The 17520-nt window shown below is 54.2% G+C and overlaps 2 long non-coding RNA genes and 2 pseudogenes across 4 annotated transcripts in view, besides 7 other annotated features; 1 reads left to right on the top strand and 3 right to left on the bottom strand.

Moving 5' to 3' along the window:
* LOC112268090 (uncharacterized) overlaps positions 1–1187 on the bottom strand; it is a 51420-nt gene extending 50233 nt beyond the window's left edge. The window contains exons 1-3 of the long non-coding RNA XR_007063199.1: positions 860–1187; positions 352–406; positions 59–230 (exon numbers count right to left, since the gene is read on the bottom strand). This is a non-coding gene — a long non-coding RNA (uncharacterized LOC112268090). The remainder of the gene's footprint in view (positions 1–58; positions 231–351; positions 407–859) is intronic.
* Positions 540–1039: an enhancer, noted in NCBI's record as "H3K27ac hESC enhancer chr12:8396767-8397266 (GRCh37/hg19 assembly coordinates)". NCBI's record gives its function as "activates a minimal SCP1, AML or CMV promoter by ChIP-STARR-seq in primed H9 embryonic stem cells {active_cell/tissue: H9 hESC(primed)}" and the evidence as "EXISTENCE:reporter gene assay evidence [ECO:0000049][PMID:30033119]".
* Positions 1232–1281: a silencer, noted in NCBI's record as "silent region_4213". NCBI's record gives its function as "represses an Ori minimal core promoter by ATAC-STARR-seq in GM12878 lymphoblastoid cells {active_cell/tissue: GM12878}" and the evidence as "EXISTENCE:reporter gene assay evidence [ECO:0000049][PMID:35858748]".
* Positions 1342–1391: a silencer, noted in NCBI's record as "silent region_4212". NCBI's record gives its function as "represses an Ori minimal core promoter by ATAC-STARR-seq in GM12878 lymphoblastoid cells {active_cell/tissue: GM12878}" and the evidence as "EXISTENCE:reporter gene assay evidence [ECO:0000049][PMID:35858748]".
* Positions 1482–1861: a silencer, noted in NCBI's record as "silent region_4211". NCBI's record gives its function as "represses an Ori minimal core promoter by ATAC-STARR-seq in GM12878 lymphoblastoid cells {active_cell/tissue: GM12878}" and the evidence as "EXISTENCE:reporter gene assay evidence [ECO:0000049][PMID:35858748]".
* Positions 2072–2181: a silencer, noted in NCBI's record as "silent region_4210". NCBI's record gives its function as "represses an Ori minimal core promoter by ATAC-STARR-seq in GM12878 lymphoblastoid cells {active_cell/tissue: GM12878}" and the evidence as "EXISTENCE:reporter gene assay evidence [ECO:0000049][PMID:35858748]".
* On the top strand, positions 2264–14161 carry FAM86FP (family with sequence similarity 86 member F, pseudogene; annotated as a pseudogene). Its single transcript, NR_024254.1, has 5 exons — positions 2264–2458; positions 6461–6543; positions 9476–9609; positions 10763–10934; positions 12603–14161. The product of NR_024254.1 is annotated as a family with sequence similarity 86 member F, pseudogene (transcript).
* Positions 2342–2521: a silencer, noted in NCBI's record as "silent region_4209". NCBI's record gives its function as "represses an Ori minimal core promoter by ATAC-STARR-seq in GM12878 lymphoblastoid cells {active_cell/tissue: GM12878}" and the evidence as "EXISTENCE:reporter gene assay evidence [ECO:0000049][PMID:35858748]".
* LINC02449 (long intergenic non-protein coding RNA 2449) lies at positions 2646–9795 on the bottom strand. Of its 2 annotated transcripts, NR_120454.1 has the most exons (3): positions 9211–9795; positions 6296–6473; positions 2646–2848 (listed from the first exon to the last, which is right to left on the bottom strand). It is a non-coding gene; the product is annotated as a long intergenic non-protein coding RNA 2449 (long non-coding RNA). The 2 variants fall into 2 exon arrangements; NR_120455.1 differs by lacking the exon at positions 2646–2848 and having other exon boundaries at positions 6253–6473.
* Positions 7147–7647: an enhancer, noted in NCBI's record as "H3K4me1 hESC enhancer chr12:8390159-8390659 (GRCh37/hg19 assembly coordinates)". NCBI's record gives its function as "activates a minimal SCP1, AML or CMV promoter by ChIP-STARR-seq in primed H9 embryonic stem cells {active_cell/tissue: H9 hESC(primed)}" and the evidence as "EXISTENCE:reporter gene assay evidence [ECO:0000049][PMID:30033119]".
* Positions 13446–17476, bottom strand: ALG1L10P (ALG1 like 10, pseudogene; annotated as a pseudogene).

Raw genomic sequence — 17520 nt, 5'->3', positions numbered from 1 at the left:
ATTAATAGCTATTATGTGAGTTAAGAAAATAAGCCCAGGATTTATGAGTACAACTAACCTGTTCCCATTGGTTTTCCTTGTCTCCTGCAGGCAGAGAGCTGATCAAAACAGCAAAAGCAAAGCAGTGCCCCTGGCCCAGTTCTGAAGCCAACCTTCCTTAATCACCCAGACCCATCCCTGGTTAGGACTTGCTGTGGATTCTTAGGTGACTCCATCTCAGGATACAGGGACTGAGAGGGTGTATGCACCATCTCAGACCCAGAAACCGTTGATTCTGCCTAAAAACACAGCAATAACCACATCCCATCCTCTTGATTTAAATGAAAGTGTTTGGAGGAATAAAAGATGAACCTTTTTTTTTCTTTGTCAGATCTTGCGCTCATTTGGTTCTGGTGTGGAACAACAGCTATAAGAGAACAAGTGTATTCAATTAGAATTAATTCCCCTCTCTTATTCTCATAGCTGAGCAGGGCTCAAGTGGCTCTCATCTGAAAGAGGTAATAAGATTTTATCTGTCTCCTCATCTACCTTTTGCAAGTGTACTTAACAAATTCGCTCTCGGGACTCTTCCAAATGGAGTTTTATGAGGAATTTGCTAAGGTAAACGTTTTAGACTTTGAACACAGTTCAGATTTCAGGGGCAGTACTGAAATCTGAACTGTGTTGCTAACTGCCCTGCCTTTCAACTCAAGACACAATAACTTTGAACTAAAATAATTATATTTTTGTTGTTTTCCACTCTGTCCCCACGTCTATATCACCACCACCCCCAATCCCACCCCGCAGGAGCTAACTCCTCCTTCCTGTCCCTGCAAGATCAAAACTCCTCCTGCAAGCCCCGCTAGCTCTGTCTGCTCACCTTCGTGGCAGATATCGCTATCGTACTTTTATCCTCATTTGTGTGATAAGTATTTCAATGTCCACTTCTTCCACGAGCCCCTGAGCCCCTGGAGGGCCTGGACCACACCTACTTTTTCTCACCGTTACATCTCCCTTGTCAGGCACATGGTAGGCGCTTAATAAGTATTTTTGATGAACGAATGGCTTGTTTGGTGACAGTCCAAAGGCTGGGGGACAGAGGGAAAGCTCCCTCGTTTCGGGCCCCAGACGGGTGGCGCTGATGGAGAGGAGGTTAGGATAAGGCCTCCAGGACCGAAGCGCGCACCCGTAAGGCCTCTGCTAAAAAGACCTTCCTGAAGGCGGAGGAACTGCGAGAGTGCCTACGTTAGCCCAAGACCTGACCCGTCGATCCCAGGGACCCTCACCCTAACTGGCCCCGCCTCCCGGGCCCCAAACTCGGACTCCGCCCCGCCCGAAGCTCCGGATCCTGGGGCCCGCCCCTGGCCCCGCGTAGGCAGACCGTGGGCTCGCTCCTGGGCCTGCCTCAAACCCTCCGCAGGTAACGCCTCCCGAACTTGAGCCACATTCCGATCCTCTCCTCAAACCCCTCCCCGTTTCCCACACCCTGGACCCCTCGCTCCGTCTCGGCCCCGCCCCAAGCCCAGCTAGGTCTCGGACCCTGAGCCCAGCCCCGACCAGCCTCCCAGTCCCTGGGTCCCTCCCGCCACCGGCCCCTCCCTAAGCTCCGCCTCCCAGGGCCCGCCTCCTGAGCGCAGCCCAGCCGGGACTCGGCACCGCCTCCCGGACCCTGGGCCCCTCCCCACGTGGGCCCGTCCTAAGCTCCGCCTCCCAGAGTCCGCGCACCGCCTGGCCATGTGCCAAGACATAGTCAACGCCCCGCCCCTGCCCCGCCTCCTGAGCCCTTCTCTGGGTCTGGCCTTAGCCCCGCCCTAAGACCTGTCTCCTGGGCTCTGCTCTGAGTCCCGCCTCCTGAACCCAATGGCGTTTATCCCCGCCCTAATGCCCGCCTCCAGGACTCTTATCCTGCCCCCACGCAAGGCACTGCCTCCAGGACGCCACCAACCTGGACGCTTCCGAAGCCCAGCTTCCAGGATCGCCCTATCCTGGCCCCGCCCCAAGACCCGCCAACCTGGTCTCTACCCAGGACCTGCCCCAGTGAGGCTTATCCTGGCCCTACCCCAGGCCTCGCCCTCATGGCGCTCATCCTGGCCCCACCCCAGGCCCCGCCCTCCTAAGGCTCACCTTAGCCCCGCCCTAGAGTCCGCCCCCAGGACGCACCTCCTGACCCTACCCCCCAGGCCCCGCCCCCTCCCTGCCCCCGCGCACTGCCCCGGACCCGCCCCCTCTTCAGTCCAGGCCGGCTTCCTCCAGGTCTCCCGGCAACGCTGCGGCCCCGCCCACGTCATGGCGCCCGAGGAGAACGCGGGATCGAACTCTTGCTGCAGGGTTTCGATCGCCGCTTCCTGGCGGCGCGCACACTGCGCTCCTTCCCCTGGCATGTGGGCGGCGGGGCGAGCGGAGAGGCCCGCGGGGCTCGCGGGAGTCCAGGGGCAGACGGGATGGGTCTCCGTGCTGAAACCCCCGGCGCTCCGGCTACGTGAGTTCCTGGGCTCTCCCCGGTCAGGGCCGCCAGACCCGGTTCCGTCCCTGGGGCCTGGCCAGAGTCGCTCGCACCCCTTCTGCCCCGCGAGCTGGCGGCGGAAGCTGGGGGTGTCTCCACCGCCTTGGGGGGCAGACGCGCGCTCGGTGTGGGGTACAGTTCACGATCCTTTTCACGACTTTTAAAAGGCAGTAATCGTTCTGGTCACTGGGACACTGGGACACAGCTGCACTCGCCCATTCTAAAAAGTCAGCGCCCTCAGGCCCGCGGGTAACCACCTCCTCCTGAGCGCGGTGGCCAGATCACAGGCTGTGCCTCGTGCCTCAGTGTTCTCATCTGTATGTCGAGCACTGCACAGAATTGGCTCATGCGCTGAGGCTTTCACACCTGTGATGGAAGAGAAAGAGAAGGGGGTGGCCTCTCCTCTCCCTGGGGACCTGCCATTCTCAGCACAGGCGCATGGCAGGCAGCAGCCTCCCTTCTGCCAGCAGAGGGGCTTAATGCACCCCGCTCCATTTGTAATTCATGTGCAGTGAGCTCACTGGGATGAGTCAGTTTGGATATATATTCCTCCCTGGGTCTGCCCCATTTTATGGGGTGTTGCTTAATCATTTGCATTCTTCCATTGACATAAAATATTTAGCACTCAGAGATCATTTCTGGTCAGGAGAAATTTGTGCATTTTTAATCCAAAATAGAAACCTTCATAAAAGCATCATAGGTCTCCATTCAATATTGACTATAATTGTTCACATGCCCACGCTGAATGCTAACTTGGGCTCACCCTCAACACCCACGAGGTGGGTACTATTATTATCACTCACATTTGACCAGAGGGATTGTTTGATTAGGGTGAAGTAGTTGAGAGTTCAGACCCAGGAGACAGCCTGCCTGCTTCGAATCCTGGCCCAACCCCTTGCCCTGTGTGACCTTGGGCAAGTGACTGCATCTCTCTGTGCTATTGTTTTCTTATTAATGGGGGATATAATGATACCTACCTCTTAGGGTTGTTGTCAGCGTTGAGTACAAAAGCCTGTGGATCAGTGCCTGGCTCATGGTAAATGCATGTCGGTGTTAGCTAGTGTTTTATTCAGTCTCAAAATGTTTAATAAATGCCTTCCGTGAGCCAGGCACCATGGATCAGCAGTACCCATGATAGATGAGGCTCTGCTTGCATGGGAGAGCCAGAGAATAAACAGATAAATGAATAAACAAGAAAAGACCAGATGAGAGTGGCTTTAAAGCCAATAAAACAGGGAAATGGTGAATGGAGCAACTGGGGAGAAGAGTCACCAAAGTCAGGGAATCATGGAAGCTTTCCCCAAAGAGGTGGCATTTGAACTGGGGCCTGAGTGGTGAAGCAGCCAGCCATGGGAAGGGTTTGGGGAACAGGATATGCAAAGGCCCTGTGGTGGAAACAAGCCAGCTGTGGTTGAGGAACAACAGCAAGGCAGCCAGTGTGGCTGGAGTGGAGTGAGCAGGGTGGGCCAGGGGTGAGGGAGAACAGGCCAGAGAGAGGGATTAGCACCAGGTCTTGTAGGGCTTTTTATGGCATAGAAGGAGCTCTGAAGCAATGAAGTGCCTTGCCGTGTGCCACATGCCAGCCGAGACAGTCTGCCTAACTCGGGAGCCAAAGTTCGCTGCTGGGCTTGAGGCCCCTATAAGAGGACAATGTAACCCAGGCTGGTATGGGCACATTCTGCATTTCCACTTAAACTCAGATGGCAAGCCCATCAAACCTTGGTGCCATGGCTGCCCTGGTAATTCCTGGCTGACCAGTGCAACCAGGGAGCTGGCCCATGACCTGGGTGGCAGCTGAGTAGCCAGGACTCATGCGGCCAAGAGTCAGCCTTCTTCCTGTGACTCATCCAGGTGCACCCTGCGACATCTGAAGGTCAGGCTTTCAGCCGCTGTGGCTTCCACTTCCAACTGGCTCCACGTCCCCAGGGAGGGATCACATAGAGCTTTGCCAACACATTCTATTGCGTGTTTTAATGTTCCTGTGAATGCGCCCTTGAGATTTCTCCCTCCCCCGTCCACACTGAGCTTAGAAGCAAAGTTAAGAGACTCATCAGATTCTGAGCTGCTGCGGGATATTTTGCAGAAGGTAAGAATCCCAGAGTCCCTGGGACTCATGACTCTGCCTCCTGAATCTCTCCGGAAGACCTGAGAGAAGAACCACAGGTGTGCTTGTACCCTTTAAAAACAGCCCTCTTCAAAGAACAAAACCATTGAGTCAGCACTGCAGGTGGGTGTCAGCACCTCCGACAGCTCCTGCGCTTTCGTTTTCTATCTAAGACTTAGACAAAGACATCAGAATATACAAAAATCTGCAAGAGGGGGGAAATCTAGGGAATGTTTTTTAAACCATCCACAGCAAAAACAGAGATGACAGGTGCAAAACAGCTTCTAGCATTTGGTAGATGCTCAGAGACTTTCTTTTTTGCATTCATGAGGCCTGTCCCACCCACTCCTGTCTCTTCTAGACCTAAATGGGCCCTTGCTTTGCCCAGGGTGGGGTTTGGACTCAAGTGCATCTGCATGCAGGTGAGAGCCAGGATCACCACCCGGCCCAGCCACAGCCTGACCTTGGCCTTGAGGGCCAAGTGCAGATCACCCTGCATCCTGGGTCTTCACCTTCGAAGGGCCATGAGCCCTTCTGAAAAGACAAAGCAATAGACTCCCTCCCAGAAAGAAGTGCACCAAAAGAATACCTTTTCCATACAAACTCAGGGGAGGCAGACATCCTCCACTCCCACCCACCCAGCCCATCCTAGGAGCCCCGGAAAAGAATTCCTGTGCTAGAGGTGAACCAAGATTATCCACGTGGAAAAGATGCAGCCACAGCAGGGAAGACTTTCGGGGCAATACAGTAGGTCAGGGCTTCGAGCATGGAGATACCTGAAGTTGTCTTGCACCTTGCTCTGAGTTTCACCCTGAGCCTCACTCTGGTAGGTGGTGAAGCATGAGATATAGGGAGAGCTGCTTTAAAACCCAGCACAAGGCTGGGTGCACTGGCTCACACCTGTAATCCCAGGTCTTTGGGAGGCTGAGGTGGACGGATCACCTAAGGTCAGGAGTTCAAGACCAGCCTAGCCAACATGGCAAAAACCCATCTCTACTAAAAATAAAAAAATTAGCTGGGCATGGCGGTGCACGCCTATAGTCCCAGCTACTCAGGAGGCTGAGGCAGGAGAATCGCTTGAACCCAGGAGGCGGAGGCTGCAGTGAGCCAAGATCTGGCCATTGCACTCCAGCCTGGGCAACAGAGCGAGACTCTGTGTCAGAAAAAATGAAAAACCAGCACCAGCATGAAGAGCCTGTGTATTGCGTGGGGTACTTTGCTGCCCTTGGGCAGAATCTGCATCCCTCCCAGCCAGCAGGCGCTGCGGACCGTCTCCTCCCTCTCCCTCCAGGCTCCTGTTTTCCCGCCGTCCCCCCTCCTGCTGCACCAGTCCCTCTGCCCTCCGTTCCATGTGCCAGCCCGTGGCCACCTCAGAGCTTGCACAGGCTGTTCCCACTGCCTGGAACTTGCTCATCCTGCACTTGGCTTCTCTCGGCTTTAGCTGGAGTCACCCTGAGCGCCCCCTCCCCTCCATCCTGTCCCCAGGGACACATGATCCAAGAGAGCAGTTGCTGAGTGGGCCTTCCCACCTCTTCCATAGAGCCAGACAGTTGGCGACTGTCCTTACTGCAAACCCTGGTTCACACTGGCTCCCCTGGGAGGGAGGTGGTTGGGACCCACATGCCCTGTGTTCCTGCTCAGAATGGGCGTTAGAAATGCTGCCATAGCCTGTGCCACTGCAGTGGAAGCATTTTTAGGAAACGGCTTACATCTTAAGACGAACTTCAGATGCGTGGGGCCAGAACGCTGTGTCCATCTGCATCTTTGCTGAGGGATCAGGTAGCCTGGAGTTTGCCCTCTGTTGTGTTGGCTTGAAGCTCATAGGAGACTTAAGACGGGCTCTCGAGCAACCAACGTTCTGTCCTTTGCCGTAGACTGTGAAGCATCCTGTGTGTGTGTGAAGCACCCGCCGTCAGTCAAGTATGCCCGGTGCTTTCTCTCAGAACTCATCAAAAAGGTCAGTTATGGGCAGTGTCCGCCCAGTAGCCGGACAGCATAGCCACCTGCGTGCTGGAGCCCCCGTCCTTCCCAGGCCCTGGGCCTGCTTTGCAAACCCCAGCATGGCAGGGGCCTCCGCAGGCAACTGGCTGCAGCTGAGTGTGACCCATGGGAGACAGTGCAGGGTGGGAAGAAGGGGAGGCCAGCGTCTCTCCCTCACTCTGCCTCCTGGGGTTTCCACAGCAGCTGCTTCTCTGGGGCCCCATCTCCTAGCATATGAATTCTCATTCCTACCAGGCTGGTCCAGCCCACAACACTGGAACCCTCACTCACACCCTCTGTCCTGCCCGCCGAAGGGTTTGGAGTTTCCTGCTCTTGTCCGTCTCTGGGTTGCCCCACGGGCCCCTGTTGGAAGATTTAGCTCTTGCCATACCTTTGGAACTAGTTCCTCTGGTGAATTCTCTTCATTGATCCTGCTGGAATGAGCTCTTTCCTGACTGCTATAGGATGGATTTTATTTTTTACTTGTTTATTTACTTTTTTGAGACAGTCTCACTGTGGTGCCCAGGCTGGATTACCGTGGCACAATCTCGGCTCCCTGAAATCTCTGCCTCCTGGGTTCAAGCAATTCTCGTGCCTAGCCTTCTAAGAAGCTGGGACTACAGGCACACGCCACCATGCCTGGCTAATTTTTGTATTTTTAGTAGAAACAGAGTTTCACCATGTTGGCCAGGCTGGTCTCGAACTCCTGACCTCAGGTGATCCGCCTGCCTCGGCCTCCCAAAGTGCTGGGATTACAGGCATGAGCCACTGCACCTGGCCTAGGATGGATTTTAAAGATGGGCCTGAACATGCAGGGTTTGACAGGAGGATGTCGAGAAGCCGTTCCTTAGTAGGCAGTAGCAGACCTGCTGAGTGAAAGGGCCACACTTTTAGCAAATAAACAATCCCCTGCTTCTCCAATACCTGCTTTCTCCCTAGTCCTCCCCAAAAGGGTGCATCTGTGGTTGCCAGCCGGTCTGCCCTGTGCCACCACGAGAGGGCAGCAGTCACCCAGTGTACCCTGCTGCTGCCTTGTGAATCCTAGGACGGGGCCAGCTGTGGAGAAGCAGCCTGCTGACAGCCACAGCCTGCAGCATGGGCCGCCCTCACAGTTCTGCCTGGGCTCACTTAAAAGCACCTTTTGTTTTCCTCCTCTCTGTGTTTGATCCAAACACAGAGCTCTCTGTCATGGTCATGTGGCAGCTCTCACGGAATCCTTGTCTCCTGCCCTAGACTACACCTAACCCTCCCCTCTCAACACCTCTTGTTGAAGGCCCTCCCGTCCAGGTTTCCCTACGAAGTGGAATTATTTTTTTTTAGAGACAAGATCTCTGTTGCCCAGGCTGTCCTCGAACTCCTGGGCTCAAGCAGTCCTCCCATGTCAGCCTCTAGAGCAGCTGGAACTATTCGACACACACCACCACGCCCAACGAAGTGAATATTTTATATACCAGCTGGCCGGTATTACACCATTCCATCCCAAATCTCCCCTCCAAACTTGGTGAAAATCATCTGGCCATTTTTACAGATTAGTACGAAAGCAAACAAGCTCTCACTCTGTATGCCCCCAGCACGAGGCTGTCCACACGGAGCCTTTGGACGAGCTGTACGAGGGGCTGGCAGAGACTCTGATGGTCAAGGAGTCCACCCAGGGCCACCGGAGCTATTTGCTGGTATGAGAAGGGCACCCTCCTCCCCCTCACAGCCCAGATACCCTTCCTGCACAGAAAAAGTGAAAACGTGGGTGTGGGTTCAAATCCTGACTCACCCATTCTGCAGTCTTAGACATGAGGTCCATTAACCTTCTTTAGCCTCAGTTTCCCTGTCTGTAAATCAAGCACTTCAACAACAACAGCATGTCTCGTGGGGTTGTTGGGCATTTGTCCAATAGGTGACACACACTACCTGCTTCACAAGGACCTGGTGCTCAGTCCTCAAAGAATACTTGACAGGGCTGGACATGGTGGCTCATGCCTGTAATCCCAGCACTATGGGAGGCCAAGGTGGGTGGATCTGAGGTCAGGAGTTCGAGACCAGCCTGGCCAATATGGTGAAACCCTGTCTCTACTAAAAATACAAAAATTAGGCCAGGCGTGGTGGCTCATGCCTGTAATCCCAGCACTTTGGGAGGCTGAGGCAAGGGGATCACCTGAGGTCAGGAGTTTGAGACCAGCTTGGCCAACATGGTGAAACTCCATCTTTACCAAAAATACAAAAATTAGCGGGGTGTGGTAGTGGGGGCCTGTAATCCCAGCTACTCGGGAGGCTGAGGCAGGAGAATCTCTTGAACCCCGGAGGTGGAGGTTGTAGTGAGCCGAGATCGCGCTATTGCACTCCGGCCTCGGCAACGAGAGCGAATCTATGTCTAAAAAAAAAGTATAAAAATTAGCCAGACATGGTGGCACACGCCTGTAGTCACAGCTACTTGGGCAGGTGAGGCAGGAGAATTGCTTGAACCCAGGAGGCAGAGGTTGCAGTGAGCCAAGATCGTGCCACTGACTCCAGCCTAGGTGACAGAGCTCAAAAAAAAAAAAAAAAGATAAAACATAGATACAGAAAACCACAAAGGAAAAACATAGCATACTGAATCATCACAAGGCAGCCACCCCTTCATAGCCACACCCGGCCTCTGGCCACCACTGACCTGTGCTCCATCGCCAGAATTCCGTTGTCTCAGGAATGTTCGATGAATGGAATCCTGTGTGGCCTGAGATGAGTGTCTTTCATGCCACGTGACAATCTTGAGGCCCGTGAAAGCTGTTGGTATGTCAACAGTTAGCTGCTTCTCATTGCTGAGTGGCGATTGGTCCTGTCATGGTTTATTCAGCCATGTGGTGGATGGCTACTTGTCTTCTAAGCCACTTGCCTTCTGATCGCTGGACTGACTCTCTCGCCCTCTCTTGGTGCAGCCCTCGGGAGGCTCGGTCACAATCTCCGAGAGCACAGCCATCATCTCTCACGGTACCACAGGCCTGGTCACATGGGACGCCACCCTCTGCCTTGCAGAATGGGCCATCGAGAACCCAGCAGCCTTCACTAACAGGTGACCTCGGGGCACAGGGCAGGGCACCAAGGCAGGCTTACCCTGGTGCAGTCGAAGACACGGTCCCCTTTCCTCCCGCCAGGACTGTCCTAGAACTTGGCAGTGGTGCCGGCCTCACAGGCCTTGCCATCTGCAAGATGTGCCGCCCCCGGGCATACATCTTCAGCGACCCTCACAGCCGGGTCCTCGAGCAGCTCCAAGGGAATGTCTTTCTCAATGGCCTCTCATTAGAGGCAGACATCACTGCCAACTTAGACAGCCCCAGGGTGACAGTGGCCCAGCTGGACTGGGACGTAGCGACGGTCCATCAGCTCTCTGCCTTCCAGCCAGATGTTGTCATTGCAGCAGGTAATGCCCAGCCCCGGGCACCCTGTGCAGGCGGTGTCCTTGCAGCTCTACCCAGCTCTTGGCTCTGGGAAAAGGGAACAATGGACGCTGTCAGGCATGGACATGATGGGGCTTCCAGAAGAGTTACTCTGGGCCTCCAGGGTGACATCAAAGGACAGGGGTGCCTCTTAAGGTGACCTTCAAGCCACAGCCCTCTTGGTGGAGACAGGCATACTCCCGTTACAGTCGTCGGCACATGGCTCTGTCCCAGAGCCATGCCCTGTGTCCTTCAGAGACCACAGGAGGAAAACAACCACTTCTGGGACGAGGACAAGGCCCATGAGAGAAGGTGGTATTTGGCTGGGCCACCGAAAACCCCTCACCCCTGCAAGCACACTCAGTCCCCTCTCTGGTGAAGCAGAGCTCTGCCTGTGGTCCTGGGTCCCAGCCCTGAAACCCACAGGTCCAGCGGTGGCCAGGGACACAGGCCCACCCCTGCAAGCCAGCAGACCAATCGGCAGACACCTGAAACACGAATTTCATGGCAGGGTCAGGCTTTCTGTCATTCAAAGCCCTCTAGATAGGCCAAGAACCAGAGCTGGTTTTTTAAGGAACACCAGTGAGTCTGGAGATTTTTTTCTTTTGCTTCGGTCTTTTGCAGCTTTCTCTACTAAGGGTTCTCCTTTTTCACCCAAGTAATTGCCTTTCCATCTAATGGCCCAAATGGTCAAATGGCATCTAATAGTCTCATAGGACCGCTGCCTCTCTGGCCTCGCCCTGCTGCTGAGGTCAGCATGAACTGGAACTTTCCACTTGTCCCTTTCAGTAACCTGAAGCTTTCACCGTAGACGTGCTGTATTGCCCAGAAGCCATCGTGTCGCTGGTCGGGGTCCTGCGGAGGCTGGCTGCCTGCCAGGAGCACAAGCGGGCTCCTGAGGTCTACGTGGCCTTTACCGTCCGCAACCCAGAGACGTGCCAGCTGTTCACCACCGAGCTAGGTGAGCCCACACACCCACCCGGGCCTGCATGGTCCCTGAGCTGTCCCTGCAGGACTCCAGTGGAAGTGAAAGAACTGGGCACCGGGGAAAAGCTAGGATGTCCCACACTCCTACACCATGCAGGGAACTCGGGCACAGGCCGGTGAGCAGGGTGGGCTTGGGGCATGGGGTCTTGCGGCAGGAGGAGGGCAGCTCAGCACAGGGAGGGAGGGTCTGAGCCCAGCAGCCCTACTATGTGCTTCAGAGCACGGTTCCCTAAGCCCTTGGGCCTCGGTTTCCTCATCTATAAAATGGAGGTGGTGGGAGGGGCAGTCGGGGTCAGGGCTGGACACAGCTGTGGCCTGCAGGATGCTGGAGCACAGGCTGTACAGGCGGATCCTCCACGCCACTGTCCTGAGCACCCAGTTGATGGAAGACGAGCAGGGTGACTATAGAGAAGGGAAACTGGCCCCGTAGTGGGCCAGCCACTGTCCTCAGACCTGACATTTGTCAGCCCCCAGCACCTGTGAGGGTGTGCTGTCATTGTCCCATCACACCGACAAAGACACTGGGACACACAGAGGCCAAGCGACCCCCGAGCTCCCGCAGACTGCAGCCCGGCCACCTGGCTCTAGTGCCTCCACACTACACCCAAGCCCCCCATTGCCACCAGCCTCTGCCCCAGCTCCCCCTGAGCACAGCCCCTCCTGGCAGCCATCTGCACAGATGCACTCGCAGCAGCCTCTGCCTGCACACAGAGACACAGACGACCCAGTACCTGCCCACGTGGGGCAGCCCGTTAACTACAGAGTCAACAAACAAGCCAGCACATGAAGGCATACTGGGTTCCATGACAGAGTCCCGCACAACCTCGCACAGGAGGCTGGCTGGGCGTGGGGCTCAGGCCTGTCATCCCAGCACTTTAGGAGGCTAAGGCAGGAGGACTACTTGACCCCAGATGTTCAAGACCAACCTGGGCCACATAGTGGGACCCCGTCTTCACAAAACATACAGAAACTAGCCAGATGTGGTTGCACATGCCTGTAGTCCCAGTTACTCAGGAGGCTGAGGTGGGAGGATGGCTTGAGCCCATGAAGTGGAGGCTGCAGTGAGCCCTGATCTAACCACTGCACTCCAGCGTGGGCAACAGAGCAAGACCCTGTCTCAAAAAAGCAAAAAAGCAAAAAAAAAAAAAAAAAAAAAAAGGAAGTCTTTCTTCAGATACTTACGTGAAAAAAACCTGCAATATCTTTTAAGTGAAAAAAACAGTGCCAAGCAGCACACATAGTATAAGCCCCAACCAACCTTTTTTTTTTTTTTTTTTTGAGACAGAGTCTGGCTGTGCCCTGCCACTTTCTAAGCTTTGCGAAGAGTGAGTTGACTGAGCAGCCAGGTAGATGTGGGTTCAGATCTCTGCTTCTGTCCTGCTGTGCCAAGTGCTGGGGCAGACACAGGCAGAGAGTGGACAGCGGCATGGTGCCTGCTGCTAGCCATTTCTATGCAAAACCAGATGTCTGGTCCCATCCTGGAGGCCAATTCTAGGTATGTGGGTGGGCCTGGGAACCTGTGAAACAAGTAAACTGACTTAGACACCCCCCACCCCGCCAGGCCTGTCCTAGCAGCCCCACACAAAACGCTCATGTCCTGTCCCCAAACACCGCCATCCTTAAACACGTGCTTTGTTTCCAGGCTGGGCCGGGATCAGATGGGAAGCAGAAGCTCATCATGACCAGAAACTGTTTCCCTACGGAGAGCACTTGGAGATGGCAATGCTGAACCTCACACTGTAGGACTCACACACGACTCTAACGGGATTGTAAGAATCAAGTCACTCTCATGGGAAGAATTTTTATATGGGAAAGCGGCTAAAACTTTCATTGGACTGGAATGTTTGGAGATTGTTAAATTCCAAATCAGGAACCACAAACTGCCCTCTAATAAGATATCAGCTGTCTAAGCGTGTGGGTGCCGCCTTTCTGCCAGTAGTTCTGGTTCTTAAGAAAAGCACCATAAATCAGACATGAAAATTCTGGCTCCAAAAATAGCATTTTCTTTGTGCAAATAAAAACGTGTGTATCAAGTATGACGTTCCCCCAACGTGGACACACTTGGTTCCTCAGAAAGCCAAGCCCGCTGCAGCTGCCACATCCCAGGGCTTATGGTGCAGCAGGTGCTTTTTTCAAGACAGGAATCAAAGTGTTAGGAACACGGCAGACAGGTGACACCTGGATACCAAATGCAGGATGAGGAGTACTGCAGAGGTCACAGGGAAGTCACAGAACAGTAATACGCTAGCAGGGGCATGGGGCGTGAAGAACAGAAGAAGACAGGAAGCGTTTCAGAGACTCCAAAGAAGAAATCAGGGCCCACCACAGCTTCCCGGGTCATTCACCAGGTGGCACCACTGCCGTCATTTCAGCTTCTGGCCACTGGGAGGCGCTGCTCGAAAGGGTTTGCCCTGAGACTCCAAGAAGAAGCTGCGGGAAGGACAGCAGGGGCCCTGGGGTTTTAGCCTCTGGCCCAGGAGTTATGTGTCCATAACCAAAGGGAGCATAGTCTGCACCCAGCTCTCATCCCATCAGAGCTGCTGCGACTCCCGCAGGTTCTTCTGGAACTGGTTTAGCTTGCCTGCAGGATCAGGAGAGTTTGAGAAAAGCATCTGCAAAATGCTAAAGAGCAGAGCTTACCTCATTGCCTGTCCCCATCTCATCCCAGGTCACCACCTGGCTGACCCCAGGTCCCCGACCCAACAACAACCCCTCCCAAGTCCCTAACTCCCTCACTTGGACTTGAGACCCTTCACAACCCAGCAGCGCTCCGCCTCCAACGTGACATCATGCTTTCTGGAAACTTCCCCGTATGTCCCACTTTCCCACACTTGGTGCCCTGGAGCACCTTCCGGCCTCTACATGCTGTACGTTCCCCTGTGAGCACCCTCCTCTCGGCCTCTGGCCAACACAGTCCCACCCATCTGTGGGTAACAAACGGGTGTGTGTGTTCTTTTCAGCCTTGCTAAACTGTCTGAATCAAGGATCACAAACTACAGCCTGCAGGCCAAAGCCAGCCCACAGCCTGTGTTTGTAAATAAAGCTTTATTGGAACAAAGCCACACCCCTTAATCTACAGATGATCTGTGGCTACTTTCACACCACAACAGAGTACCATGGTTCTGACAGAGACTGGGGGACCCTGTCTAAATGACTTCTGACCTGGACCTTTACTGAAAATCCTCCCAATCATTCTGTTGACAAGAATGGTGTATTACTTTTTGCAATAAGAAACAAGTAACCTTTGCAGAATTCCACCCATCTTTCAAGGCTGATCCCAGAAGTTCCCTCTGCCCACGCACCTACCTGATCCTGATCACTTCCTAAACTGCAGCCCGGCCCACCCGGCTCCAGCATCATTTGTGGAGTCTCAGCTCCATAAATCCAGAGGGCAGGTGGGGGTGTGTCCTAATTTTCCCGAGCCTACTGTACCGAAACAGGACAGCAGAGTAGGAAGCCTCTGTGACTTCTGCTCCCTCCCTAGCTTTTCCACCAGACCCTGCATGGTCCCACCCTGGCTGTGTGAAGCAGGGATCAGGGAGCGTGGCTCGATGTCAGTCTCCAGAACCCTGTCCACCCTGGCGTGGTGGCAGACATGGCTACCTGCAGCTGAGCTGCCAGTTCCTCTGAGTCCTCAAAGACCAGGCCATTTTCTTTATGTTTCACCAGCTCATGTAAACTGCAGAGAGAACCAAGGGAGCCTGAGAGCTGCCTGGGGAAGACACCAGACCCCTGGGGTGCCCAGCTGGGCTCCCACCCACCCCACGCTCAAGCCAGGCTGGGGGTTGGAACAGGGGGTGTGGTTTCTGGGAGCTGGTTCTTAGATTTGGCATCTGAAGGGTATAAAGGCCTGGGGGGGGTGCACATCAAAATGACCAAATCGATTTGAGGAGAGAGCCTTAAGGAAGGTTTGTACCTTCTGTGCTGGATGCTCTTCAAGGACTGAAGAATTATTTTTGCATGTTTTTCTTAATTCCATGGCCATGGAACAAGTAAAGGCAACCCCCTGGGGACTGGTTCAGCACATAAAAGATGACTTTTCTAGGACACCAGATTTGATCCCGACATTCCCTGAGCTCAGCTCACATGAGGGGCTCGCATCCCTGAATCCCATCCAGGAGCTGGCTCCTGAGCAGGGGCCAAGGGCTCAACTTGTGCTGGGGCTACTGCTTCTAGAATCTCCTCTAACGCCGCCCTTCCAAACACCCGTCTATGCTGGGTGCAGTGAGGCCACAGCATGACACTCATTTAACTCGTTCAAACCCAGCACGTGAGCTTGGCCAAAAGGGACATGGTGGGAGAGAAAAACAAAGAAAACCATGTAAGCCTGCAGGCAATTCCCGCCAATTCTACTCTAGGAGCAAAAGCCCCGAGTGGAGTTCTTGTATTTAAGGTACTTTTTTTTTTCATATTGGGTTGGTGCAAAAGTAATTGCCATTTTTAATGGCAAAAACCGTGATTACTTTTGTACCAACCTAAATATAACATGAGCTCTAAATGGAAGCAACTACTTCAGTGAGGCTCAGCCCAGCCACAGCAACCGCAGGGCTCCTCCTCGTGGCCTCCAGTGTGTGCTGGACTGACCGAGGGGCAGGGCCTCACTGTGGGCAGCTCACTCTGCACTGCTTCCCCCTCAGTGGTGGATCTGTGAAGCTATCCCCAGAAAGATTGGGGTTCTGCTCCTACCACTTGAAGTTCACGGCACACGCAGGCAAACAGCACCTGAACATGTCCACCACCTTCATGGGCAGGTCCAGGCCACTGGAGGATGTGTCCAGAGAGACACCCAGGTCCACTAACCCTGCTAGGCAAGAGGGGTGGGTCAGAGCGCTGGTCTCTGCCCTGGGAACACAAATCCTCCCAGCACAGTGAGACAACTTCCCCCGAGGGGAGTGAAAATTGGATAAGGTCCCCGACAACCCCAAGCACAAGTGGCTTAAGGTGGCCAAGCAGCCACACGGCCTGGGTGGGACATCTGAAAATGTAAGTTGACACTTTTTCTACATAGCCACAATTTGTTTTTTGTTGTTGTTGTTTTGTTTTGTTTTGAGACAGAGTGTCACTCTGTCACCCAGGCTGGAGTGCAGTGGCACAATCTCAGCTCCCTGCAACCTTCACCTCCCAGGTTCACCTCCCGCCTGTAATCCCAGCATTTTGGGAGGCCAAGGCGGGTGGATCACCTGAGGTCAGGAGTTCAAGACCAGCCCGGCCAACATGGTGAAACCCCATCTCTACTAAAAAAAAATACAAAATTAGCGAAGCTAATTCGTGGCAGGTGCCTGTAATCCCAGCTACTCAGGAGGCTGAGGCAGGAGAATCGCTTGAACCCGGGAAGGCAGAGGTTGCAGTGAGCCAAGATCGCGCCATTGCACTCCAGCCTGGGCTACAAGAGCGAAACTCCGTCTCAAAATAATAATAATAATAATAATAATAATAATAATAATAATAATAACAAGAGCGAAACTCCGTCTCAAAATAATAATAATAATAATAATAATAATAATAAACCACATCACACCCACCACAAACCAGCTGTCAGTGTGAAAATAAAGCCAAATAGCTTAACATTTCTAAAGACTAGCTGGGGCTAGGCATGATGGGTCAGGCCTGGAATCTCAGCACTTAGGGAGGCCAAGGCGAGAGGATCACTTGAGGTCAGGAGTTCAAGACCAGCCTGGCCAACATGGTGAAACCCTGTCTCTGCTAAAAATACAAAAATAAGCCAGGTGTTGTGGCGGGCTCCTGTAATCCTGTAATCTACTTGGGAGGCTGAGGTGGGTGAATCGCTTGAACCCAGGAGGCGGAGGTTGCATGAACTGAGATCGTGCACTCCAGCCTAGGCAACGGAGCAAGACTGTCTAAAACAAAGACTAGCTGGAGAATCCTGCCAGGAAAAGGCCCTCAGACTCCAACTGCTCTGCTCACTCGAAGCTGGAAGATGCGGCTCTAGAGACGCATCAGGACCAAGCCACGACTCCCCACTTGGAGAAATCAACGCGGAAAGAGACGGAGGCAAAGGAGAACCATCGCACTGGGAGAGGCGACGCTGTTTGACACATCGTCCCTGTACCTCCCAAAGCCACTGCCCTCCCACACCTGGGCAACAGTGGCCCCAACCCCAGGCCCAGCCCTCCTGCAGGAAGGAAGAGGACTGAATGGAGGGCGTGGCAGACTGAAAGGACGTGGCCTCCTCAAACCCCTTGGTAAAGGGCCTCTGGGGCCACCTGGCAGGGAGGGGCTGGCACACCAGGAAGTAGCCTCCTCCCGGGAGTTCAGCTAGAGCCCAGGTCCTGTCCCCAAGTGGCCTCCAGAGCCACCTTTTCTGAAAAAAGTACATCCTGCCCACCCCTGTTCCCCCTGCTTAAGGCCCCGCGTCCTCCCTGAGCCTCCTGCTGGCCTCTCACCTAGAAGCGGGGGTAGTCCTCGGCCCTCCAGCCAGGGGGTGCAGACCTGGATGTGCTGGAAATGCTTCTGGTGGATGAGGCGGCTGTAATACTCCCTCAGAGGCCCTTTGCCTTCACAGAGAAAAGCAGACACTGCCATGGACCCGTCTCTCTCCG

The sequence above is a fragment of the Homo sapiens genome, chromosome 12 (genome assembly GCF_000001405.40).
Source record: "Homo sapiens chromosome 12, GRCh38.p14 Primary Assembly".
NCBI lineage: Eukaryota > Metazoa > Chordata > Mammalia > Primates > Hominidae > Homo > Homo sapiens.
This window is presented reverse-complemented; position numbering and strand designations above follow the sequence as displayed.